The 27466-nt window shown below is 34.9% G+C and overlaps 1 protein-coding gene across 6 annotated transcripts in view; it reads right to left on the minus strand.

The window, feature by feature from the left end:
* Window positions 1-27466, minus strand: part of ARHGAP20 (Rho GTPase activating protein 20) — a 136147-nt gene that overhangs the window by 104792 nt on the left and 3889 nt on the right. For 5 of the 6 annotated variants that reach the window (NM_001258418.2, NM_001258417.2, NM_020809.4 and 2 more), the window contains one exon: window positions 8713-8795. In NM_001258418.2, the coding sequence (NP_001245347.1) occupies window positions 8713-8792 (80 nt within the window). In that variant the 5' untranslated portion in view covers window positions 8793-8795. Of the gene's footprint in view, window positions 1-8712; window positions 8796-9137; window positions 9206-27466 lie in introns of all 6 variants that reach the window. The other variant, NM_001258416.2, reaches the window with a different exon arrangement.

The raw sequence follows: 27466 nt of genomic DNA on the forward strand, positions 1-27466 counted from the left end.
TCTATTATCTGTACCCTAAACCAGCCAATTCTATATGTACCTAATCTTGACTCACAGCTTTGGCACATATAAAACTCCTAGAGCCTCTTCATCTTAAGTGACTGAGCAAAGCAGGTCAATCCTCCATGGTTCAAACCGTCATTTCCCAGAGTCATTCTAGGCATACTGAGAACCTCTACATAGGGAGAACTCAAAAGTTGTCAGGGTCTACCAAGAATAAATCCAAAATATCCTGAGTTAATCCTGCTTTAGGTCAGACCTAGAAATATAATTGTCTTGCTAAAATAAATTTAACATTAGACTCTAGCAGGCTTCCAAATTCTCCATCTTTCATCTTTTTAATTTCCCATCTGCTATGGTCTTCAAAGAGTCTCTCTATGAGAATGTGTACTTCCTTCTGCTGTTACTACTGCTACTACTACTAACAATAATAAATAGCTTACATACATATGTAGCACTGATTATGTACTAGAGACTACTTTAAGAACTTTAGATATATAAGACTCATTTAGTTCTCCTTAAAATCCTATGAGGTAGGTATTATTATTATCATCTCTGGTTGAAAAACTTACCCAAGATCACACATAGCTAGTAAGGGGAAGTACCAGGATTTAGACCTGGCAATTTGGTTTCAGAGTCTATGCACTAAGGTACTGTATCATATTCCTTTAAGACCAGACACCTGGGTTCTGGTCCTGTCTCTGACATTAATCAACTATGTGACCTAGAGGAAGTTTTTGACTCAATTTCTGCTACTTAATGAGCCAGGATCAATGATCCACTTTTAGTTATACAATGCTGTGATGATAAAGCAGGTGCTTTTTATTAACAAGCTTGACATTAATAGATGAGCCAGAAGGCTTGAGTCTTAAAAATTATATATCTATACATTATATAATGGAAGGGAAGAAGGGAAATAATAATAACTAAGTTAATATTCTAAGCATTTTTACTTATTTCCTCATTTTGTGTTCTATGATGTAAGCATTATGACCCATATTTTACAGAGGAAAACATTGAGACTCAGAGATAAAGTAATTTATCCAAGGTCACACAGATAATCAGGATGGAGTGCCAACATTTAAATGCAACCAAAGACCAAGTACTTTCTCTTATACCACAATTCTTCCCTGGTGTTGTCTGTCCCTCCTCTCAGCAGAGATTTAAAAGTACCTAGCACAAAGTCTTGCAAACAGCCCAAACGCAATAAATTAACTTGGAGGTGGAGATGGAGATAGACAAATGAATATCAACTTAAAAGTGGTAACAGGTTGTTACCCAAAACAAAAGTGGATACATTTTTGTGCAATTTCCACAAGGTAGGCTGTTCACCATATCAAAATAATACATTTTTGAAGGGAAAGTTTGTATGACTTGAATTCATTCCTAAATAAACAATGAAGAAATACCATAACAATGCCAATATATATGAGATTTCTAAACCATATACATGAGCACTTGTGGCATTTTGCTGCATGAAATTACTTCCTAACAATAACAAAGAAACATTTTGTTAAAAAAAATCTCCATTTTCCCTATCAAGACTTTCACAAATGCCAATGAAAAAGCAAAGTGTCTTATACATTAAGGGAAGTCAGGAAAGTCAGAAACTACTGTGCTAACTTATTAAATTCCTCTTTTGGTTTGCAAATGGAGACATTAATTTATTCACTAATTCATCCAACAAATAATAACTGAACAGCAAGTATGTACAAGGTATTATTTTATTAATAAATGTGTGCTAGGACATTAGAGGAAACATGCATATAAGGAGATTCCAATGAAGTGTGATTGAGTGCTATGATTAAAAGATATATAGGGTGGTTATCACACTATGCCCCATAAATATGTACAATTATTATGTGCCAATTTTTTTAAAAAGGTACTATTATGACTCCTATTTCACAGATGAGGAAACTGAGGCTTGGAGTAACCAGTTGTTATAGTCTGAATGAGAGCGATCATCTTTATAGATTTTTAACTATACAATTCTCACCCAAGTTCAAATGCTGCAACTTAATTACCAGTGTGATAATATTAAGAGGTGAGGCTTTTGGAGGTGATTTAGTCATGAGGGCAGAGCCCTTATGAAGAGAATTAGCTCCCTTATAAAAGAAGTACAAGGGAGCTGTTTGCCCCTTCCGTCATGTGAGGACACAGTAAGAGATGCCATGTTAGAAGTGGAAAGCAGCCTTCACCACGCATGAAACCTGCCAGTGCCTTAATCTTGGACTTGCCAACCTTCAGAACTATGAACAATAAATGTCTAATACTTATATATAAAAAGATATATAGTGTGTTATAGGAACATGGATGTTATTTATGAAGAGTTAGAGGAGTTTTTGAAGGAAGTGACATTTGAGAGAAGGCTAGAGAGTATGATGTGTTTAGAAAACAGCAAACATTAGAATTCAGAGTATATATACAGAAGTCTTGTTTTTGCTAACAGATTGATTTTATTAAATTAGTGAACCTTTAAAGTAACAGTATTCAGAAACTATTCAAAATTCTTTCTTAAAAAAGGGAAAATAACAGCTGGGTATATTAAAACAATGTTCATATTGATTATCTAGACATATTATTGGTACATACTAACATACTTTAATTTCTTAGCATCTGAGTAGTATTTTTCTGAAAAATGTAAATTTGTTCAACTCCTATGAAAAATAGTATGGCAAATTTTCAAAGAACTTAAAATAGAAATACAATTCAACCCAGCAATCCCATTACTGGATATCTAAACAAAGGAAAAAAACTAGTTTTATCAAAAAGACTGCACTCTTATGTTTACTGAAGCACTATTTACAATAGCAAAATCATGGAATCAACCTAAGTGTCTATCAACAGTGGATTAGATAAAGAAAATGTGCTACATATATACCATGGAATACTACGCAGACATAAGAAAGGATGAAGGATAAAATCATGTCCTTTGTAGCAACATGTATGCAGCTGGAGGCCATTATTCTAAGTAAATTAACACAGAAAAAGAAAACCCAATACTGTATGTTCTCACATATAAGTGGGAGGAAACAATGGGACAGAAACATGAAAACAAAAGACACTAGGGACTCCAAAAGAAGAGAGGGAAGTGGGGGGCAAGTCTTGAAAAACTACTACTGGGTACCACATTCACTGTTTGTGTGATGGGTTCAATAGAAGCTCAAACCCTAGCACCATGCAATGTAACACATACGCACATGTACCCCCCTGAATCTAAAATTTAAAAAATGAAGTTGAGGCTTTTATCACCGAAAAATTATATGAAACAATAAAATTAAGATCATATTGGAAAATACACAGTCTTCTGGGAAATCTTTTTGATTTGTTGTATTCAACAAATAATTATATGACCATAAAATTAGAAGTTTAACAAATAACATATTTCAACACTTTCATTTTATTTTTAAGAAAACTAAACCCTTTAACATATGTGCTCAGAGTCTTAACACAAGGATGATTACCACACAATGTTAGATCATCTTTAAACACAGAAGTGAACACTACTGTGTCAAAGAGAAAAAGTAGTTGACTGCAGCTATGTAACCACTCACCTTAGAAAACCTGTAACCTTCTCAGCATGAAAGATGTCTGTCACATTTCCTAATATAATAATTACTTAGAGAAACCACCTCCAGCAGCTCTGAATGGTGCCACATTAAAAAAAATGTTAAAATCTATGAACTGCCTCTCCTTATGTACTCTAAGCATTCACCAAAGAACACTGGAGATAAAACTACCTTTAACACATAAATACAGTTAACTCATCAGTTAATTTAAATATTTCTTCCTCTTTAAATCCAGCTCTTGTTCATTAAATTATTTTTAAAAAGGATTCTTTGAAATCTCCTGCAGATTTAGATACAAGCTTTGTCATCTACAAGTCATTAATTACTAAGTAACAACTATGGGACAATAGTAAAAGTAGTAAGGTTCTACAGCAATGCCAAAATCAAATATAGATGTAATTCAAAAAATATAAAATGTCAATAAATAAAACACTATTTCTTTGCTGTCTGCCCAAACACTGCCCACAAATCTTTTGCAGTCTAGTTCTCATGTTACATTTCAAGAGATAGAAACGATTTTGGGGGAAGGCTACGAGAATTTTGCTGTATAAAGTACCACTTGAACTAGCTGTGTTATCATCTTGGACTTCAGAAATTTCTCATATTTCTGGAGTATAATGGATAGAAAAGCAAAATTCTATTTGCAAAAATTTGCATTATTTGTAACAACTTTGGAAAAAGTTAGAAGTACATCACTGAATATTACTATTTAGTTTTATACTATAAAATTTATTTAAGTTTTAACTATAGGATTTATTTAAAACAGCAAGCTCATTAATAATTCAAAAAATCTGATTTATGTAACTTTTCAGGAACATACATTATAAAAAAGTGGACAAAATTCAAAGACTTTCTTGAATGTTTATTATAATAAGATTTGATCTCCAAGTTTTAAAAAAAACTGCAAGAGACTTGAAAAGAACTAATACATCTATATTTAAATGAGAATTTAAACATGAGGGAAAACAAAAATCTGAATCACTTCTGAACAGGCAAGAATTTAAAAGGAAATACAAATGATTAATAGTAGTTACCCCTGGGGATGGAGTAGAGAATTTACTTTTTGTTTTATACATGTCCATATTGTTTTCTTTTATAACAAATATGTATTACTTTTGTCAATTGTAAATACTTCCTTAAAACTCTTATCTTGTATTCCTTTTTTATAAGCAAATCAACATAAAAGCATTCTTTTATATCATGCAACAGTGGTCCTCCACCAAGCATTCATTAGAATCCTATAGATAACAGTATTATATTCTATACTTAAAAATCTATAAAGATGATAGCTCTCATGTTAAGTGTTCCTACAATTTTAAAAAAGAGTGCACAGAATTAACTATGGATTTGAAAAATATGCTGATATCTGTATCCCACTCCAGAATACCGAATTAGAAAGGCTTAGGAATCACTAAACTAGAGGACCCTTTCAGGTTCTTTCCAATCCTGAAATTGTATTGCTTACAAATATTTTGCATACCTTCAGAGTACAAGCACCAAGAGCTACACAAAGTAAAAGCATAATCTCATCTTTATAAGATTATGAGAGAGGTGAAGGTCCTGTTCCCTAGCATTATGCACCCTAATTACTGATCTAGAGAAACTTGCAGGAAATTAACTGAAGATTAAAACATATATATATATATATATATAGACACACACACACACACACACATATATATAGACACACACACACACACACATATATTTTAAGACAGGGTCTGAGTGCAGTGGCACAATCATAGCTCACTGCAGCTTCCAACTCCTGGGCTTAAGTGATCCTCCCACCTCAGCCTTCCAAATAGCTGGGACACACATCATCATGCCCGGCTAATTTTTTTTTTATAGAGACAGGGTCTTGCTATGTTGCTCAGGCTCAAGTGCTCCTCCCACCCTGGCATACCAAAGGGTTTGGATTACAAGGATGTGCCACTATGTCCAGCCAAACAAACTTTTTTCCTTACAGTTATTTTGAAACAAAACTCATCATATTTTGCTACTACTAAGAATCTGGGAGAACTGGCTCTAATGTAAGCACCAATTCTTGAAGAAGTGATAGGGAGGCAGTGTGGGGAAGGGCATTGTTGTATATTATTATATTGGTTCTCAACTTAAAACAATGAGAAGTGGCATTTTTCAGTGAGTCAGGTAAGTGTTAGCATTTTCCCTAGCATGGCACTTCATCTGTATCAGTAGTTCTTGATTCTATTAAACCCAATGACCCTTTGTTATATAAAAGTCTATATATATGTTTAAATTCCTCTTTTTATATCCTGAAATGAAATTCACAGGTATTTTTAAAAAGTTGAAAATAATAAAACACTCTAACGGTAACATAAAGAAAAAAATGAAAATAGTTCTTAATAAAGTATGTATTTCAATAAGTACATGCTCAGACATGATTATACTAAAGACAATTAAGTAGTCAGATGCTTACAACTAGTTACAATTAATATATTCAAATTTAAGAGAAGTCAGATAAGAAATTTCATGTAACAAGCACAGAAAAATGAAGCCCAGTAATTTTTAGAAATGGTTCCAAACAATACAAAGTACAATTATCTCTTGACGTACAAGGTAGCTACATTTCTGAAAAATTTAGTATTCATTGAAATGTATAAAAATACTTTGTGCTTATATATAAAATAGGTTACAGGCATAGATAATTATATAAAGATATTTTCCCCCTTCGTGCATATGTTATATAGGGGACTTTCAAAAGCTATGCAGGAACCCACCATTCTTCTCTACGCAGGATATTCTGTGCTTTCCATGATGCCTAGTATCCCTGGCTGCTGCCACTAAATCACTGACCAAACATAAATGTTCCCCAAAATTCCAAAGTGTTCCCTAGAGGTTAGTAACACCCCCTCCTCCCCCCGCCCCCAATGTGAACCACTGGTCTGCATGAACTTTCAGTACCTGCATGTATACTTATTGCAGATTCTCACCCTGGAGTAGATTGGGGGAAGATGACTGCTGGTTCCTGATCTAAGGCTAAAGCTTCTATAAGGACTACTTTTAAGTGAAAAACCTTAGTACACTTCATACTCACAAGCTTCCAGTAAAAAATTTTACCCAAAACTGTGTATTTGTTAAAAACTTAGTTAAAAAATAAACAATAAATTTATTTTTACATCTATAGTAGAGAATTAAAGACATCTATACTGATTAATTCTGTTTCCTCTATCCACCTCCCCTAAAAAAAAATACTGTCCCTTGAGGTTTCTAGATAACCAGTGTTAAACTGTGAAGATACAACCATTCTCTTTTATTCACACTAAAGGATACACTGATGCAAACAATGCAAAAGTCATTTACGTATGACACTGAAATATATTACCGTATTTTTATTTGGCAGAACGGCTTCCTAATTAAATTTTGATTAGGCATCTATTAAAAGGAGTTTACATTTCTTGATCAACCCAATGACTAAAGTGTATGTCTTCTGGGGGTAGGTGAGAAAAACTACTGAGTCTGAGAACTTGCTATGTGCTCGGAAGAAAGTGACGTGAGTGTTTTTGTACATGTCACTTGTTGGGATTTGGATATATAACTTATTTTTAATACTGAAAAACTTCCATACTTTCATATAGTTTTTTTTTTTTTTTTGGAGATGGAGTCTCGCTCTGTGGCCCAGGCTGGAGTGCAGTGGCACGATCTCGGCTCACTGCAAGCTCCGCCTCCCCGGTTCACGCCATTCTCCTGCCTCAGCCTCTAGAGTAGCTGGGACTACAGGCCCTCGCCACCACGCCCGGTTAATATTTTGGATTTTTTTAAGTAGAGATGGGGTTTCAACATGTTAGCCAGGATGGTCTCGATCTCCTAACCTCGTGACCCGCCCGCCTTGGACTCCCAATCATATAGATTTTATGTTAAATTAGCACAATTTGAAGATATGTCATAGATATATCCTTGCTTTAAATAAAGTTGGTGAAGCCTTCACTTTACCTAAAAGGATTCACAACTTAAAGAAAAATCATTGTAACATTCCTTTGAACATAAAAACTCTTACGAGTTAAAATGCCATTTAAAAATTAATGAATTAATGAATATTTGAATTTGAAAAAATTAGTGAATAAATTAATGAATATTTGAATTTCAAAAAAATTAACGAATAAATTAATGAATAAAATAATAATGACTATTCAATTTCAACACATTATGAAAGACTCTTAAAATGTCTATTGAAATGTTACAGTAGGTAGCTAGTCAGGTGTGAGCAGGGCAGGAAAAGGCTCCCCGCAACACACACCAGGAGTATTGGGTGACCATCAGTTGATGGTCGGTGGTTGTTAACCATTTCGCTAAAGTATTAATTGGTCACAGCTGGCACCGGGGAAAGGCGGTCTCATAATAGACAGAAAACACCTGAATCTGATCAGCAGCTTCCCAGTGAGATCCCAGAAGTATGCCAACATACAAAATCCCCCACATCAAGAGGTCAAGCTGCGTACTTGTCTTCTCAAGTCGCCTGCTTGGCCCTCTTTCAAGTTGTACTTTCCTTCCTTTCCTTCCTGTTCTAAATCTTTTTAATAAGCTTTCGCTCCTGCTCTGCAAAAAAAAAAAAAATGTCTATTTCAATGTCCATTGAAATAGCAATTAGCCTCCATTGGTGAAATGACTCTGTTAACAGGTATTTAGCTGATTTTTCCACTTTGAATTTCACTAATTTAACTAATAATGCCTAAAATCAATCAATATTCCATTTTAAAAAATAATCATAATATGGTTATCTTCCTTCACATCTAAAGTTGGTAAGAAAAACTGCCTTATCCATGCACAGCCATCACTTTGTGTTGATTTAAAAATATGCAAAGTTTTGTGCAAAACAAAACATTCATTTTTCAGTATTTTGATTTCTATTTTATAAGTAAACTTTGTTAAAATGTGGAACTTGCAAGTTTATATACTTTTGAGGGTGAAATTCACTTTTGAATCAGTTTTAAAGCAACTGAGCATATATACCAGCTAGGCACTATTAACCTCAGAACAAAAGTTGTATTTTCTACTCTTAAACAGAATTCTGGTGCTGATAACAAACAACCTCTACACATTAAAGAATATGTGATCTGAAAAACTCTTCATCTAATATAAACTTCCAAGCACATACTGAATGTGTAATACAAAGCTTTGCACTTACCTGGTAGTAGGCCGTTTTTGTAGGGCTTTATCCAGGATAAGAGATGGAGCGCTCCTCCTCCTTTCTGCTAGTGTTTTCATTTTCTGTTGATGAAACAAACCAAAATGAAGACCACATGGCTTGTAAGGCAAGACAATGTTGATTTTTTTTTAAATCCAATTTAACAAGTTTTGCATTGCCTATCTTTGTCTGTCAAGGAGCCTACAGTTTCATTATGGAGATAAAACTGTAACATCTAAAATAGGATAGTTAAAAAAAAAACAGGACAGTAAGTGTCAAAAAGTGGTAAAAGCAATAAGTATTTTTTGTGGTCAGAGAATAAAGAGGTTAAATGTTTACCAGAATATTTGGGAGAAACACCATCATAACCATTATTACTGGTTATCATGTGTCTGGCTCTATGCTAAAGGCTGGACATGGATTACCTTATTTATTATAATCCAAAATGTCATCCGGGTAGATACTACTATCTTTATTTCACAGGCAAATTTGGCTTCAAGAAAAGACAAGTAAAGGAGAGGAAAAAACAGTTAAAGCAAAAGCACAGAGACTAGATTTTTGCATAAATATTAACACACTTGGGAATCCCTTCTTCCAAATAGACTTTTTTAAAACTGTAACTTCAAACAATAAAAAAATCTTTTTTTCTAGGTGGTATATAAATATAAGACGGTGGTAATCTGTTCCAGTGACCTAAAGTTGCAGTAAATGAAGTTTATTCGACTTGAATTATTCAGATAATTACTCTCTAAATTTAGTCTTATATATTTAACACATCTAGATACAGCCACTAGAAGCAGATGAGTAAAATTAACCATATATAGTCACAAACAGCCATGAGCGAAGTTCAGGCTGTATTATCAAAGCCGTTCTTCTCACCCTATATCTCTATACCCTTTCATCCCATATCCCTCTCACCCTGTATCCTCGCCAAAGGTGTTACCCACTACCTCTAGGCCAGTCATGCTTGGGAACTGGATGTTGCTCCAATGGGAACCATATAAAACTAGGCAGCTCAGTGTCGGTATCCTATTATGTGATTCATAAAGGAATTGCTTGTAGTTTTTAAAGTAAAACAATGATCTTAGCATAGGAATAAAGAAAGAATCATCCAGTGAGAAGAGGATGCTAGACTTCTTTGGCACAATTCTTATCCCACAAATTCTCCATGCTCCTAGGGATCTCTCCCAAATTATTGTCACCACTGCTCTGGCCTCGGTGTTGCTATTCCACTTGTTAATCTTTTGGCTCACATGTGGAAGCTATAGGCACAAATCTCCTTAGCACAGCTGAGACAACAGCTGGAATAATTATGTAAAACATTAATAAATGACAGGAAACACATGGGTTAAAAATAGATAACATCAAACATCTCAATTGGGAGTTATTAACCACAAATCAATTTCAGGCCAGGTTACTTATATAAAAATTTTTTGCATGATGTATATGTGATGTCTTCCTTCTAGAGAAACAGCCCGGAGTTATCATCGGATTCCCAGAAAAGTCGAATCCTTTCCAACACTGGTGATTTCAATAACCTAGTTTATATATTATAGCGTGCAAGCCCCATCTCACTGTTTCCATTACTCACACCTCTTAGGAACATAATCCTCAGGAATCTAATATCCTTAGGCTAGTGTGACTGCAGAGGTTACAAGGAGAAAGGAAAACTGGGAGATAAGCATTTGTATTGCAAGGTACAGCAGCACTTCCTCATGTGAAGAGTCTCAATACTGAAAGATTGGATTGATTTTACTAAGAAAAGTGGCAGTTTGTTCATATCCATCAAGCTATGTTCCAGATTTTTTGCAGGGTTCTGTTTCACCTTCAGGCCTGGAATTAATTCCTACTCTCTATCCTGATTCTCTTTACAGGACCAATTTACTACTTTGAAGTGTGAAATGTACCCACTCTTGTAAGCTTTACCTTTGTCCCTCACACCCTCTGTCTGCTTTGACCTTGAGGATCTGCCATTCAGCAGCTTTACATCTGCTTTCTCTAACCTTCTGAAATCACTGTCAGCAGATCCAAGATTCTAAACTAGATCTTCATTAGTACATAGTTTCTAATTCTGAGCTCCTTGGCTTTCAGGTTTACGAAGAATTTGGAAAAGATTCAAAAGACAGTGTAAAATGACTTAAAATGTGAAGAAAAAGAGCCTATGAAACAGGATAAAATGATCTGAGATTCTTCATTTAGAAACAGTAATAATCTCAAAATTAATGCAGAACTATAATGTGGAGGAAAGTTAGCATCTTCCAAGGAAGATGAGGCAAAAAGAAATGAGGAGAAACATGGAATGAAAATCCAGGTTGACCTTGGGTAGTGGTTTGTTGAGAAATCTATAAAAGTTGTGAACTAAATTTTGCATGCAACTTCAGGGGTTCAGAACCCCCATGAAATGGATTCCTTAGGGATTTATGAACCGCAAGTTAAGAAACTTTCTGATGTAAGAAAATCCTCCCAAGAATGATAGCTGTTAAACATGAGAATGGATAATCAAAGAAGGGTGACAAATTTTGTTCTGAAAAGGTGCTTTTGAAATGGGTGTTTTTCATGGAAATCTACTGTAGAAGATCATTTGTATAATAGTGAATAGAATGTATTTTCTGAGTTTTAAAATTGTCAGATGTATAATGGGTCAAATGCTGAGTGTAGCCACTTCATCCAGCTTGATTTATATTGAAGAGAATGCAATCAAACTACCAGCAGGTAGTTTGTTTTTATTTCAGGTTCCATTGTTCGTACTCAGACTTACTCTATCATTAATGAGATGTGCAACCCAAGGCAATTCAGCCACTTCTCTGGGCCTCCATTTCCTTACTCACAAAATGAGACAGTTTGGACTACATAGTCACTTAGGTCCCTTTATTTCTGATAGTCCCACATTAAGTGTCCACCAAAGATTCACCGTGGATATGCAAGAAAATAAACATTACATGAACCATACATTTAGGATTCACAGGATTCATTCTAAATAAGTAACAAAAGGTCTTACAAGCAGCCAATATAACCAGGGGCTTAATAGATTTAGATATTAATTCATTCAAAATACACTTATCTCTTTCTTTTGCTTAAAAGTGTAACCAAACAAAGGGCCACTAATAACTTCAAAACAAATTCACTGATCTCTTAAAGAATCTGTTCTCAGGCAATGAAAACTTAGATTTTCTTGTTTACAACTATGTGAAATACATCAAAATAGAATGAAACTATTGATTCTTTTACAGGTGTATAATAGTACAAACTTATCAGGACAGGCTTACGTTATGCTTATCTTAGCACAAACAAATTTCACAGTTGTTCTGTGACAGGGATAACTATAATTATTTGCTTCACAGAAAACAAGGTAAACTTCAAACAGTATATAGTATATATTTTCTGTTGTACTTGATGTTTATAACTAGATGACTTCATAAATAGTGGATACCACTCTGAAATAGAATATTTTTAAAAGGTAATGTTTTAAAGAAACGATAAACTATACATTTAGGCAAAAATACTCAATTAATTAATTGCATTAATCTTTTGGGAATGAGTTTGATATCGTATCACTTACCTAGTGTTAAGTAGCCCCAAAAACTAAATAAGAATTTTATGTGAGCTAAGAAACAAACAAATATGAAGTAGTACCTATCTATCTCTCTGTCCCCCAAATGGGAAAAAATGAGGAGGAGAATGGAAGAAGTTCTAACATGGAATAAAGAGTGATTAAATGTCAAAAACTGTTGTCTATTTACAAATGGCCTTTTATTAGGAAAGTATAACATGAATACTAGAGAGAAATTATTAGGTTGGTGTACAAGTAATTGCTGTTTTTGCCATTACTTCCAATGGATCTTTGACCCTCTGCTGTCTCCTCTGCAGTTATATTCAGTATTGTAGGTCAAAAAACCTATTAAGCCTAACCATAAATGAATAAAGGTCATAACTGAATATGAGAACCAAATGCCAGTAATTTGTTTTTTATCTTTTACATTTAAATAATAACACAAAACTGCAGCAACACTACCAACTAATCTGCAAGGTGCTTTCTACCTTCAAGTCATTTTAAATACATGGATTAATTACATATTCAACTCTGTGTGTTCCTTCATATATGATGCCTCAGTAGTAGCATTTCACATTATACTTATGTTTCTGACCCCTTCTAGAGAGCAGGGGCTATATCTTCTTCCCAAATTTTCTCCCTTCCTTCAACAATTTTTTACTGAACTCTCCTCTGTAGCAAGCATATTTTTGCATTCCCAAATCCCGGTATAATGCCTGGCACAAACTATACACTCTATAAATGAGGGTTTTATGTGAATTAAAAAACCCACTAATTCACCACATAAATACCACCATCCCCAAATGCACACATATGAAAACAAACAAACCTTTAAGGGGCTCTGCTGGAATGGTATCATTAAGAAAAATGTAAGCATTTGCTATGGAACTAGACATAGACAGCAAGAGTATACCTGTGCACTGCAAACTACACCTTTTGAACATAGTGTTGACACTTATCACTTTGAGCTACATAGTAAACATCTGCCTGACAATAAAGTTAATCATTTGTCAACAAATAAATGGTGCTGAGATAATGGGATATCCACATACAAAAGAATAAAGTTGGACCCTTACCTCAGACCATATATAAAAATTAACTTAAAGACCTAAAAGTACCAGCTAAAAATTATAAAAATCTTAGAAGGAAACACAGGCATAATTTTGTCATCTTGGATGAGGCAGTGGCTTCTTATTAATAGATATGACACCAAAAGTACAAGCAACAGAAGAAAAAATCTAGACACTGTCAAGATTTAACATTTCCATGCTTCAAAAGACACCATTAAGAAAGTGAAAAGACAACACACAGAATGGGAAAGCTTTTATTGCAAATCATATATCTGACAAGTGACTTGTATCTATTATAAAGAAATATTAAAACTCAATAATAAAGGCAAATTGCCAAATTAAAAGTGGGCAAAGGATATGAATACAGTCTTCCAAAGAAGATATACGAATTGCCAATAAGGATATGAGAAAATGCTCAACATAATTAGCCATCAGGGAAATGCAAATCAAAATTACCACAAGATACCACATCACACACATTAGGACGACTATAATAAAAAAAGATAATTACAAGTGTTGGTGAGGATTGGAGACTGGACTCTTACACACTGCTGGTGGGAATGAAAACTGGTAAGATGGAAAACAGTTTGGCAGTTCTTCAAATGATTAAACATAGAGTTACCATACGATCCTGCAATTCTACTCCTAGGTACATATCCAAGAGAAATAAAAACATATGTCCTCAAAAAGACTTGCATATGACTGCTTATAACAGCATTATTCATAACAGTAAAAACGTGGCAACATCACCAATGCCAATCAACTGATGAATGGGTAAACAAAATGTGGTATATCTATACAACAAAATATTGCTTGGCAACAAAAAGAAATGAAGTATTGATACATGCTACAACATGAGTGAACCTTGAAAACATTAAACTAATTGAAAGAAACCATTACAAAAACCATATATTATATGATTTCATTTATATAAAGTGCCCAGAACAAGCAAATCTATAGAGACTTAAAGGTTTGTGCTTGCCTAGAGTTTGGGGAGACAGCAGAATTGGGAGATGATAGCTAAGGGGGTTCAGTGTTTCTTTCTGAGGTAATGAAAATATTCTAAAATTGACTGTGGTGATGAATGTACAATTCTATGACTACACTAAAAGCCGCTGAACATAACTTTAGGTGGGTGAATTGTATGGTATGCAAATTGATTTGGTTAATACCAAAGAAACCTAACTACCAAATTACTAAACCACTGGGCTCCAGCCCAGCAAACTGGTCCTTAGCCATAAGTTATAATTTTCTTCTTATCACAATCATCTGAAATATGTGAAAAAGGAAAATTTTTTTATCCCATTTTTTTTGGTACAAAAAGTTTCAGTGGCTGTCCATTTGAGTTCTTCAGAGATCTGAGGAATTTGCCCACCTGCTTACTGTTTTAATTAACATTTTTAAAAAATTCTAGATTCATGTGCATGTGCATGTGCATGTGCATGTTTGCTACATCGGTATATTGTGTACTGGTGAGGATTGGGCTTCTAGCATATTCATTACCCAAATAGTGAACATTGTATCTGATAGGTAGTTTTTCAACTCTTGCCACCTTACCACCCACCTCCCTTTTGGAGTCTCCAGTGTTTATTATTTCCATCTTTATGTCCATTTGTATCCATTGTTAGATCCCACTTATTAGTGAGAATATGTGGTATTTAATTTTCTGTTCTGAGTTAGTTCATTTAGGATAATGGCCTCTAGGCTCCACCCATGTTGCTGCAAAGAAAATTATTTCATTCTTTTTTATGGCTGCATAGTATTCCATGGTGTATTTATACCACATTTTATTTATTCAGTTAACTGTTGATGGACACTTGGATTGGCTCCATGACTTTGCTATTGTGAGTAGTGCTATGATGAACATAGAAATGCAGGTGTCTTTTTCTGTTTAGATGTCTTTATAACATAATGATTTCTTTTCCTTTGTGTAGATACCCAGTAGTGGGATTGCAGGATTGAATGGTATTTATATTTTTAGTTGTTTGATAAATCTCCATATTGTTTACCATAGATATTGAACTAATTTACATTCCCATCAATATTGTATGTTTCCTTTTCTCCACATCCATGCCAACAACTTTTTTTTTGACTTTTTATTAATAGCCATTCTGATGGGTGTAAGACAATATCTCATTGTAGTTTTAATTAGCATTTCTCTGATTAGTGATTTTTGAGCATTTTTTCATGTGCTTTTTGCCACTTGCTTTTCTTTTTAGAAATATCTGTTCATGTCCTTTGCCCATTTTTTAATGGAGCTGTTTTTTTCTTGTCGAGTTCTTTCAGTTCCTTGTAAGTTCTGGATACTAGTCCTTTGTCAGAGGCACAATTTGTGAATATTTTCTCCCATTCTGTAGGTTGTCTGTTTACTCTTATTATTTCTTTTGCTTTGCAGACGCTGTTTAGTTTAATTAAATCCCATTTGTCTATTTTTATGTTGCATTTGCATTTGTCTAGTTTCATTCTTCTGCATGTGGCTAGCCAATTTTCCCAGCACAATTTATTGAATAGGATGTCCTTTCCCCATTGTTTATTTTTGTTGGCTTTGTTGAAGATCAGTTGGTTGTAGGTATATGGCTTATTTCTGGGTTCTCTATTCTGCTCCATTGATCTGTATGTCTATTTTTATACCAGGACCATGCTGTTTTAGTTGCCACAGCCTTGTAGTATAATTTGAAGTCAGGCAATATGATGACTCTGGATATGTTCTGTTTGCTTAGGATGGCTTTGGCTATTTGGGCTCTTTTTTTGGTTCCATATGAACTTTAGGATTTTTTTCCTAATTGTGTGAAAAATGAAATTGGTAATTTGATAGAGACTGCACTGACTCTGTAGATTGCCTTGAATAGTATGGGCATTTTAATGATACTGATTTTTCCAGTCTATGAGCATGGGATGTTTTTCCATTTGTGTCATCTACGATTTCTTTCATCAGCCTATTTTGTTAAGGGTTTTTATCACGAAGGATGTTGGATTTTACTGAATGCCTTTTCTGCATCTATTAAGATGACTGTATGGTTTTTGTTTTTAGTTCTGTGTATGTGGTAAAACACACTTATTGATTTGTGGATGTTGAACCATCATTGCATCCCTGGGATAAAACACACTTGATCATGATAAACTATCTTCTTCATGTGCTATTGGATTCGGTTTGCTAGTATTTTGTGGAGGATTTCTGCATCTACGTTCATCAGAGATATTAGCCTATAGTTTTTGTTTTCCATTGTGTCCTTCTCTGATTTTGGTATCAGGGAGATACTGGTTTCATAGAACGAGTTAGGAAATAATCCCTCCTCATTGGTTTTTTAGAAGTTTCGGTAAGATTGAATACCAGTTCTTTGTATGTTTGATAAAATTCAACTGTGAATCTGTCTGGTCCTGGGCTTTTGTTGTTCTTGGAAGATTTTTACTACTGATTCAATTTCATTACTCATTATTGGTCTGTTCAGGACTTCTATTTCTTGCTGGCTCAATCATGCAGGGTTTTATATTTCCAGGAATTTATCCATCTCCTCTAGATTTTCTAGTTTATACGCATAGAGGTGTTCACAGTAGTCTGTGATGATCTTTTGTATCTCTATGTTATCAATTGTAATATCACCTTTATCATTTCCGGTTGTACTTATTTGAATTTTCTCTTTCTTGTTGGTTAATTTAGCCAGCAGTCTGTCATTTTTGTGTAACCTTTCAAATAACCAACTTTTTGTTTCACTGATCCTTTATATCTTTTTTTGTCTCAATTTCATTTACTTCTGCTTTAATCCTTGTTATTTCTTTTTTTGTGCTAGCTTTGGGTTCCAATTGGTCTTATTTTTCTAGTTCCTTGAGGTGTGACATCAGGTTGTAAATTTAAGATCTTTCTATCTTTTTGGTGTAGACATTTAAAGTTATAAACTTTCCTCTTAGTTCTACTTTTGCTGTATCCCTGAGGTTTTGATATGTTGCCTATTTTCATTTGTTTTGAAAATTTTTTTGATTTCTTAATTTCACTGTTTACCCAAAGGTCACTCAGGAGCAAGGTGTTTAGTTTCCATGTAGTGTGTGTTTATGAGAGTTCCTCTTGGTCTTGATTTCTAATTTTACTCCACTGTGGTCCGAGAAGATACTTGATATGATTTTGATTTTTTGGAATTTATTGGGACTTCTTTAATGGCCAAGCATATGGTCGATAATGGAGAATGCTCCATGCAGAGTGACAAGAATGTATATTCTGTGGTCGGCTAGAATGTTCTGTAAATGTTTGTTAGGTCCATTTGGTCTACAGTTCAGTTTAAGTCCAGAGTTTCTTTGTTGATTTTCTGCCTTGATGATCTGTCCAGTGATATCAGTGGGGTGTCGAAGTCCCCCACTATTACTGTATTACTATCAATGTTTTCTTAGGTGTAGTAGTATTTGTTTTATGAATCTGGGTGTTCTGGTGTTAGGTGCATATATATTTAAGATAGTTATATCTTCTTGTATTGAACATTTAATTATTATATAATGCTCATTTGTCTTTTCTATTGTTGGTTTAAAGCCTGTTTTATCTGATATGAGGATGGCTACTCCTGCTCACTTTTGTTTTCCATTTACATGACATATCTTTTCTTACCCACTTACTTCCTGTCTATTGTGATTTGCCACCATTCCTCCCCTATTCCTCCAGTGTCCTCCTTAGGGTTTTCACATAGTAAATTCTCAATAGTTGTGTATTAAGTGAATGAATTAACATATCCAATATCTGAGATTTTAAGGTAGTAATACAAGTGTGCCTATGTAGAAAAATGAAGTTGTAAATAGGTAACTGAAGAAAAAAACTTTTGTTGTTTTATTTTCAATAACAATGCAGAAAACACTTTTTAAATAAAAACCTGTATGTAGGCTCTCACTGGAATTTTAACTTCATGACAGCCAAGAGATATAGTACTATTTTTGGAACCTCTAAATCACTCTGAATCTGCTCATTATTAGTTCTCACAGAGATTAAAGAAAAACAAAGCATATCAAAAGGAAGGAACTGGATGAAAGATTAAAGTTGGAGGTGAACTGCAATTTTTCATGCTTTGTTTTGTTCCAGTCACTTTATGAGGAAAAAAAATCAAGCATTTCAGTTGAATTATGGATGCTGAAGTCACTTTCAAGCATTTAAAATAAGCATAGTATTAAAATAAGGGCACTGGGAAAGCTTTTATAGAACTCTAAATTTTCAAGGCTAGAAAAAATAAGTAATCAAATTAACAAATTAGCTTATTCAAACTTGACTATTAATTCTTTTGTGGCTAGTCTGTGCAATTTCGTGAGCATTAAAGTATTTCTTGTCTTCCCTACATGCCTGTAGCATTTACTTGTGGAGACGTATCCAAGCCACTGAACAATTATACTTCAAAGACACTGGCTCTGTAAGGGAAAAAGATAATTACTTTTTTTTTTCTTTCTTTTTTATTTTATTTATTATTATTATACTTTAAGTTTTAGGGTACATGTGCACAATGTGCAGGTTAGTTACATATGTATACATGTGCCATGCTGGTATGCTGCACCCACTAACTTGTCATCTAGCATTAGGTATATCTTCCAGTGCTATCCCTCCCCCCTCCCCCCACCCCACAACAGTCCCCAGAGTGTGATGTTCCCCTTCCTGTGTCCATGTGTTCTCATTGTTCAATTCCCACCTAAGAGTGAGAATATGCGGTGTTTGGTTTTTTGTTCTTGCAACAGTTTACTGAGAATGATGATTTCCAATTTCATCCATGTCCCTACAAAGGACATGAACTCATCATTTTTTATGGCTGCATAGTATTCCATGGTGTATATGTGCCACATTTTCTTAATCCAGTCTATCATTGTTGGACATTTGGGTTGGTTCCAAGTCTTTGCTATTGTGAATAATGCCACAATAAACATATGTGTGCATGTGTCTTTATAGCAGCATGATTTATAGTCCTTTGGGTACATACCCAGTAATGGGATGGCTGGGTCAAATGGTATTTCTAGTTCTAGATCCCTGAGGAATCGCCACACTGACTTCCACAATGGTTGAACTAGTTTACAGTCCAACAGTGTAAAAGTGTTCCTATTTCTCCACATCCTATCCAGCACCTGTTGTTTCCTGACTTTTTAATGATTGCCATTCTAACTGGTGTGAGATGGTATCTCATTGTGGTTTTGATTTGCATTTCTCTGATGGCCAGTGATGGTGAGCATTTTTTCATGTGTTTTTTGGCTGCATAAATGTCTTCTTTTGAGAAGTGTCTGTTCATGTCCTTTGCCCACTTTCTGATGGGGTTGTTTTTTTCTTGTAAATTTGTTTGAGTTCATTGTAGATTCTGGATATTAGCCCTTTGTCAGATGAGTAGGTTGCGAAAATTTTCTCCCATTTTGTAGGTTGCCTGTTCACTCTGATGGTAGTTTCTTTTGCTGTGCAGAAGCTCTTTAGTTTAATTAAATCCCATTTGTCAATTTTGGCTTTTGTTGCCATTGCTTTTGGTGTTTTAGACATGAAGTCCTTGCCCATGCCTATGTCCTGAATGGTAATGCCCAGGTTTTCTTCTAGGGTTTTTATGGTTTTAGGTCTAACGTTTAAGTCTTTAATCCATCTTGAATTGATTTTTGTATAAGGTGTAAGGAAGAGATCCAGTTTCAGCTTTCTACATATGGCTAGCCAGTTTTCCCAGCACCATTTATTAAATAGGGAATCCTTTCCCCATTGCTTGTTTTTCTCAGGTTTGTCAAAGATCAGATAGTTGTAGATATGCGGCGTTATTTCTGAGTGCTCTGTTCTGTTCCATTGATCTATATCTCTGTTTGGGTACCAGTACCATGCTGTTTTGGTAACTGTAGCCTTGTAGTATAGTTTGAAGTCAGGTAATGTGATGCCTCCAGCTTTGTTCTTTTGGCTTAGGATTGACTTGGCGATGCGGGCTCTTTTTTGGTTCCATATGAACTTTAAAAGACCAATATCCTTGATGAACACTGATGCAAAAATCCTCAATAAAATACTGGCAAACCGAATCCAGCAGCACATCAAAAAGCTTATCCACCATGATCAAGTGGGCTTCATCCCTGGGATGCAAGGCTGGTTCAATATACGCAAATCAATAAATTTAATCCAGCATATAAACAGAACCAAAGACAAAAACCACATGATTATCTCAATAGATGTAGAAAAGGCCTTTGACAAAATTCAACAACCCTTCATGCTAAAAACTCTCAATAAATTAGGAATTGATGGGATGTATCTCAAAATAATAAGAGCTATCTATGACAAACCCACAGCCAATATCATACTGAATGGGCAAAAATTGGAAGCATTCACTTTGAAAACTGGCACAAGACAGGGATGCCCTCTCTCACCATTCCTATTCAACATAGTGTTGGAAGTTCTGGCCAGGGCAATTAGGCAGGAGAAGGAAATAAAGGGTATTCAATTAGGAAAAGAGGAAGTCAAATTGTCCCTGTTTGCAGATGACATGATTGTATATCTAGAAAACTCCATTGTCTCAGCCCAAAATCTCCTTAAGCTGATAAGCAACTTCAGCAGTCTCAGGATACAAAATCAATGTGTGAAAATCACAAGCATTCCTATATACCAATAACAGACAAATAGAGAGCCAAATCATGAGTGAACTCCCATTCACAATTGCTTCAAAGAGAATAAAATACCTAGGAATCCAACTTATGAGGAATGTGAAGGACCTCTTCAAGGAGAACTATAAACCACTGCTCAACGAAATAAAAGAGGACACAAACAAATGGAAGAACATTCCATGCTCATGGGTAGGAAGAATCAATATCATGAAAATGGCCATACTGCCCAAGGTAATTATAGATTCAATGCCATCCCCATCAAGCTACCAATGACTTTCTTCACAGAATAGGAGAATTACTTTTAACCTTGCACCTTGCTTCTGGGTCATGCTATCACAGCAAGGTTTTGACTACTAGGTAAGCTGAAGCTTCCTGCTATTGTCAGTTTGGTCTGTGATAAATATGATCTTCTATTTACCCATAAATCATCCCAACCAGGACCACTTTAAACATTTAGCTAAAATAAATGTAATTACAGTACAGACTACTGTAAATGAATATATGTTCCTTTCTGAAGAAAGAATTGATTTTACTTTCCAGCTCTTTCCTCTTTCCGAAGGACTACTACCATGTTGAAATACAACAATAAACATAATAATCTATGTAATGCAGAAGAATGGGCACTAGGCTAGGAGACATTGGACCTTAATTCTGGACCCTAGTTCTACCACTTAATTTCTCAGATTTTCTCTAAAATGGACACAATACCTGCCCTACTCACTATATATATATATTCATTCATATATATGGATTCATTCATATATATTCATTCATATATATGGATTCATTCATATATATTCATTCATATATATGGATGAAAGTCCTCTGAAATGAAAAGCACTGTGATAATGTAACAGACAGTAAACTTTAAAGTGGTTAAGTGCTGTATATAAATAAATATAAGGATATTAGAATTTCCCTTATACATTATTCTTTGTTTCCTTGCCTCCATCCCCACACATGCAGGATTCTGGAGCATCACTATGGGTCTTCACGTTGGCTAGATTTTTCTTCTTTGGCAAAGCTACAAGTTTCAACCTTTGGTCATGATAATCTTTAAGCAGCACCCTGGAGTAGGTAGAGTCAATCACCAATGTTCTCTGCCTAATAGTTTCTTACAGGGCAGGGCTCCACTACATTTTTCACATAATGTTCCATACAAAATGATATTTGTACAACCATAACACTCTATGTCAAACAAAGGGGCACCTGGCTCCCCAGTATCCATCCACTCGCCTGAAGGCCAAGAGGCTAATTGTCAGACACAACCGCAACAGTTGGGAAGCTTTGCCTTACGGTAGCCCCTCATTGTCTTCAACACAGAGGGGAAAAGTACTGTGATCAAATTCTAAAACCATAATGGTAAAAATCAGACAGCCATATCAAATGAGAATAAAAAGCAGATCCACGTCTATCTAGATTCAGACATAGTGTTACCTGGTGATGGCTATTGTTAAAGCTGAGGTTCAAAAGAGTGAATGTAGGGATAGGAGAGGAAATAAAAACATTCTCCTAGGTGTAAATTAGGACTCAGGTAAATAAGGAAAGCAAAAGGCCACAGAGCAGCTGCGTTTTCCAGATCTTTGATATGTGAGCTGATGTGGGGCACACATACATTCCATTTTCAGAGTCCACACACAAGTGACCAGACATCCAAAAACAAGTTTTACATTTCAGTTGTGTCATGTGACAGGTGTCTGTCAAAATTAGGTCAAGGCTGCTCTCAGCACACCACTGACCTACAGTGCTGATGAGGTTATTTCTGCTGTCAGTTAGATGTTTCTACCATAAACTTGTCCTAGATAAAGAAAATAAGACTGAAATAAAATATAATATAAACTGGGCTATATTGCCTACAAGCCTCATTATTGATGGTTGACCGAAGGCAATCATCTCTGCTACCTTTCCAGCCTCACATTGTGGCAGAGTCTCCCGTAAGTAAATAAAAGCTAAAGATCAACTCTATCCGAGTTTGTTTCAGAAAACTGTTGTAGTTGCCACTACCAAATTGAGCATTCTCTCTGCAGGCTTTCTGAACACATCAGGACCTCTAGAATCCCTGTGATCCTAAACACTTGAAGTACCAACAGAACAGGCGAGCAACTTTCCCTTCACTTAAAGTTTACTTTAAAGGTTTATACCAAATGCTCTGAAGACATGAGGGGTATGAGTAATAAAACTCCATTGAATCATAAAAATATATATTTCCTCAAAGCACTCTGCATATTATGAGTATACAAGTGTTATGTACACACATATAACTTTGATATTATATACCTATTTTTGTGACACTTTATAATGTATTTTAGTGGCAATTTAAGTTGAAATCTAGTATATTTTCAGCTACAGACACCTTCTAGGAAGGCAAGTTTTACAATTACATATTTTTGTTAAGTTGTATGTAGTCCCATAAAGCATAACATGCCTTTACTTTGAAAAGAATAGCCACCAAGTCCTGGATGGAAAGGTAAGAACTGTGAAAGAATTCAGTCTTCTAAGTTATTGATTGGAGAGGATTTCATTTCTGTAGGTACCATCAGTTTTCTCAGCTCTCCCCCATCCACTGAACATGTTCCACCTTTTGTCCTGCCGCCCTTTCGCCAAATCATAACCTGGGAGAATGCTGAAGGCATAGAGGGTGATAAATTGCTTCATGACAATCTTCACCTTAGAACTAAAAGCAACAACTGCACTAACTATTTAGGTATCTATGACTTGTGAACTTTCAGTCTATGAATTCCAACTGCCTATTTTAACTTAGGGGACTTAATCTTCAAAATTAATAATTACTTTTTACACATGTATAAGAAGATTATCCTTAACTTTTATTTTATAAAACTATAATTTATTGTAGTCTATGAACTTTAGAGTCACAAAAATTAATTTTTCTTCTGCCATGGTAAAATGCACTATGTAATCACATTTTAAGTGAGCATAACTATGGACACAAAGTTTTTTCCTCCAGACTCAGTGGAGCAGTGATATAAAAGTTAACTGAGTTGAGAGAGTTTCAACTGGGTTTCCACATGATTTTCCAGTGGAATCATCTGAGGCTTAGGATTCAGTGCACCCACACATAACTCTGAAATATACTCTTCTGAGTTTGTCTGGAGAATACGCCAAGCTTTCCAATAGCAAGCAAGGCTGAGGTATCAGCATAGAGATTAGGCCTGGCTAAGGGCTCTTGAAGTACATCTGCCTTATACAAAACATCTGAAAATGTCAGACACCAAGGCATAAAAATCACCAAAGTAATTAGACCAGTGATTGTGTCATTGATTGTCACTATAAGTCAATGTTTACCTAATATTTACCTAATGGTAGCAGTGAACATAACATTCAATGGTAGACAGAGAGGGTAGAAATGCCACTCTCCAAAGAATGTATACTCTTTTTTTCAATTGAGAAAAGGCCCTCAACTGTACTTTTCTCAGCTGGTTATATATAATTTAAACCTACTCTCCCCTGTATCTTATGTTACAAACAATAACAAATGCAGTGATAGTCTCGTTGAAAAGAGAAATGGAGTTGGAAGAACTGGATTCAAATTCCAGTTTTGCCACTTACTACACTGAAGCCTTGATATGGTTCGGTTCCTTCTTTAGGAAAAAATTAACACCTACCTCATATAATTGATGTGTTTTGAATATAGTTCAGCATTCACTTAAAGAGGTTTTTAAATTTTCTTTATTCTTCTATAAGTTATAGCCAACCCTTGTATTTTTATTCAAGTTCCTCCTCATGATATTTGATATTTATGGCTTCCAATGATGACTGCTTTAAAGGATGGTATGCATTCACATGCATGTACATGTTCTGATGTTACATTTTTTAAACTCAAACTCCTTTTGTTGCTTTACACCTACTCTCACATGGCAAGATATACTAATAACTCCTGCACTTTTGCAAAGTGTTTCCATTTACCTTTCATGACCCATAAAAACCAACCTTGTGAGAGGTGCAGGATAGGGGTCATTACCCCATTTTGCATACAAAGAAACAAAGCCCAATCAGAAGTTCAGAGGTCACATGAGGGATAACAGAGGCCATTCCTGATTAATCTAATTTTATTTTTATAATTCTAGGACCCTCCCTGCCAACACAATCTCACGTATCTGATTTCATGCAATTCATTTTGTGAGTAACACCAGATAAGAATTGAGTAGGATACTAGTTTAACTATGGGCATAATATTTTTCTCAGTATTGAAGAGTAAAACTAAAGCTTACTCACTAAGATGTTTAATTCAAGCCCCAGTATAAGACACACACATGGTCCAAGTTAGCCCTTGGGGGTGTTCTACCATGAGGTGTTATAAACAGATTTGGACCCAGAGAATTAGAAAGGAAAGGCAGAATGAAGTTTACAACAGCAGCTGCTACATTTAAAAATGTTAGAGCTATTTTAAAATTATTTTCCCTTGCCTGGCTTTCTGGGCCTATAAGTCTCTTTTCCCCCATTCCAACACTCATCCTATTTAAAGATTTTTCAATTAGCATATGAAACCAAAAGGTCAGAATATTTGAGTCTGATACAAATCATTCCTAACTAAAATGATTCTAATATGTGCTTCCACTTCATTAAAACTATTCCGTGAAAATGTGGATATCCTCAAGGATGTATTATTCCAGAATAACTTAAAGTATTATCTATGCTTTATCTATATGCTATTACATTTTAGAATTCAATTTTTAGGAATTACTGTACAAATTTATTGTATATTCTTTGGAAGTGCCTCAGTGATGGAAAAATCTTTGTCTTCTGAGAGTGGATTTGATTTTTGGAAACAATGAAATCCTCTGACTAGTGAGTAAAAGTGAGTGATCTAGCTAGGCAATTCTGCTTGAGATTAAAATAATAAATGTGGCTATAAAATAAAGAGACTGACTTCATTTACAGCATCTACATGCTAGCTCCTCAAACATACCTACCTCAGGACCTTTGAACTTAATGCTCCCACTTCTTTTTATAGCATGGTCTTTTTAAGCCATAAGAGAGTTAAGGGACACTTAAAAAAGGCCTTCCCTGAACACCCTAATGCAGAATGATCTAACTCAACAACCACATTTGTCTAATTCGGGGTTATGTTTGTTCCTTTAATAACAGTTATCACCATTTATTCATTTTTTTGTTTTTTTTTTTGTCTCTTCCTCTGACCCATGCTGTCCAATACAGTAGCCACTAGACACATGTGGCTCTTTAGATTTAAATTCAAGTTGATTATAATTAAGAAGCTTACAGAAAAAAAAAATGACAAATTGTATTTCACCAAAAATAAGAACTTCCGTTCTTTTGAAAGATACTCTTAAGAAAGTAAAAAGACAAGTCACAGACTGGGAGAAAACACAATTAAAATTGGGCAAAATATTTAGACACTTCACCAAAGATAACATATGGATGAAAAATAAGCACGTGAAAAGATGCTCAACATCACTAATCATTGAGGAAATGCAAATCAAAACCATTAGATACCACTTTACATCCATTAAGATGACTGTAATCAAAAAGGCAGATAATAATAAGTACTGGTGAAAATTTGGAGTAGGTGGACTCATATGCACTGCCAGGGGGAATATAAAACCACTTCGGAAAAAACAATGGACAGATTCTTAAAAAGTTCAATATATACCTAAAATATGACCCAGCTATTCCACACCTAAGTATTTACTCCCCCAAAATGAAGTCCATGCAAAGACTTATACATGAATGTTCACAGCAGTTTTGTGATAGCCTAAAACTGGAGATAATCCAAATGCCCATCAACAGATGAATGGATAAATAAATTGTAGTCTAGTCACATGATGGAATGCTGCTCAGCAATGAAATGAACTATCGATACACGCAAAACCATGGATAAACCTCAAAGTAATTGTATTGAATGAAACAAGCCAGACAAAAAAAGAATATAAAGTATGATTACATTTACAAAAAATCTTTGGAAGTGTGAATTAACCTACAGTGAGAGAAAACAGATTAGTGGTTGCCTGGGAATGGGGAGGGAATTAAGGAATTAGAAAGGGACATGAGGAAACTTTGGGGGATGACGAATATATTCCTTAGCTAAACTGTGGAGATGTTTTCACAAGCGTATATATATGTCAAAACTATTAAATTTATATACTTTAAATATGTGCAGTTTATTCTATATCAATTATACTTCAATGAAGCTGTTAAAAAATGTTTAGTTTCTCAGTCATGCCAGCCACATTTCAAGAGCTCAATAGCTACATGTAGCTAGTGGCTACTGAATGGACACTGTAGATAAAGGCGTTCCATCATTACACAATGTACCACTCAGTGGCACTACTCTCCCCTAATTAGGAGAGAGGAAACTACACCACAGAGACTCACCACTTGTTTCTCTAAACGAAGTTTTATTACAACACAGCTATGCCCATTCATTTCTTCATTGTCTATGGCTGCTTTAGCACTATAATGGCAGAACTGAGTAGCCTGTAACAAAGGGCCTACAAACCTTAAATATTTAGTATCTGGTCCTTTAAATAAAGGTTTGCTGACCCTGCTCTGAGCCATAAATTCTGAGGACGGGGCCATATCTGTCCTGTTC

This window comes from Homo sapiens, chromosome 11 (assembly GCF_000001405.40).
Source record: "Homo sapiens chromosome 11, GRCh38.p14 Primary Assembly".
In the NCBI taxonomy this organism is placed as follows: Eukaryota; Metazoa; Chordata; class Mammalia; order Primates; family Hominidae; genus Homo; species Homo sapiens.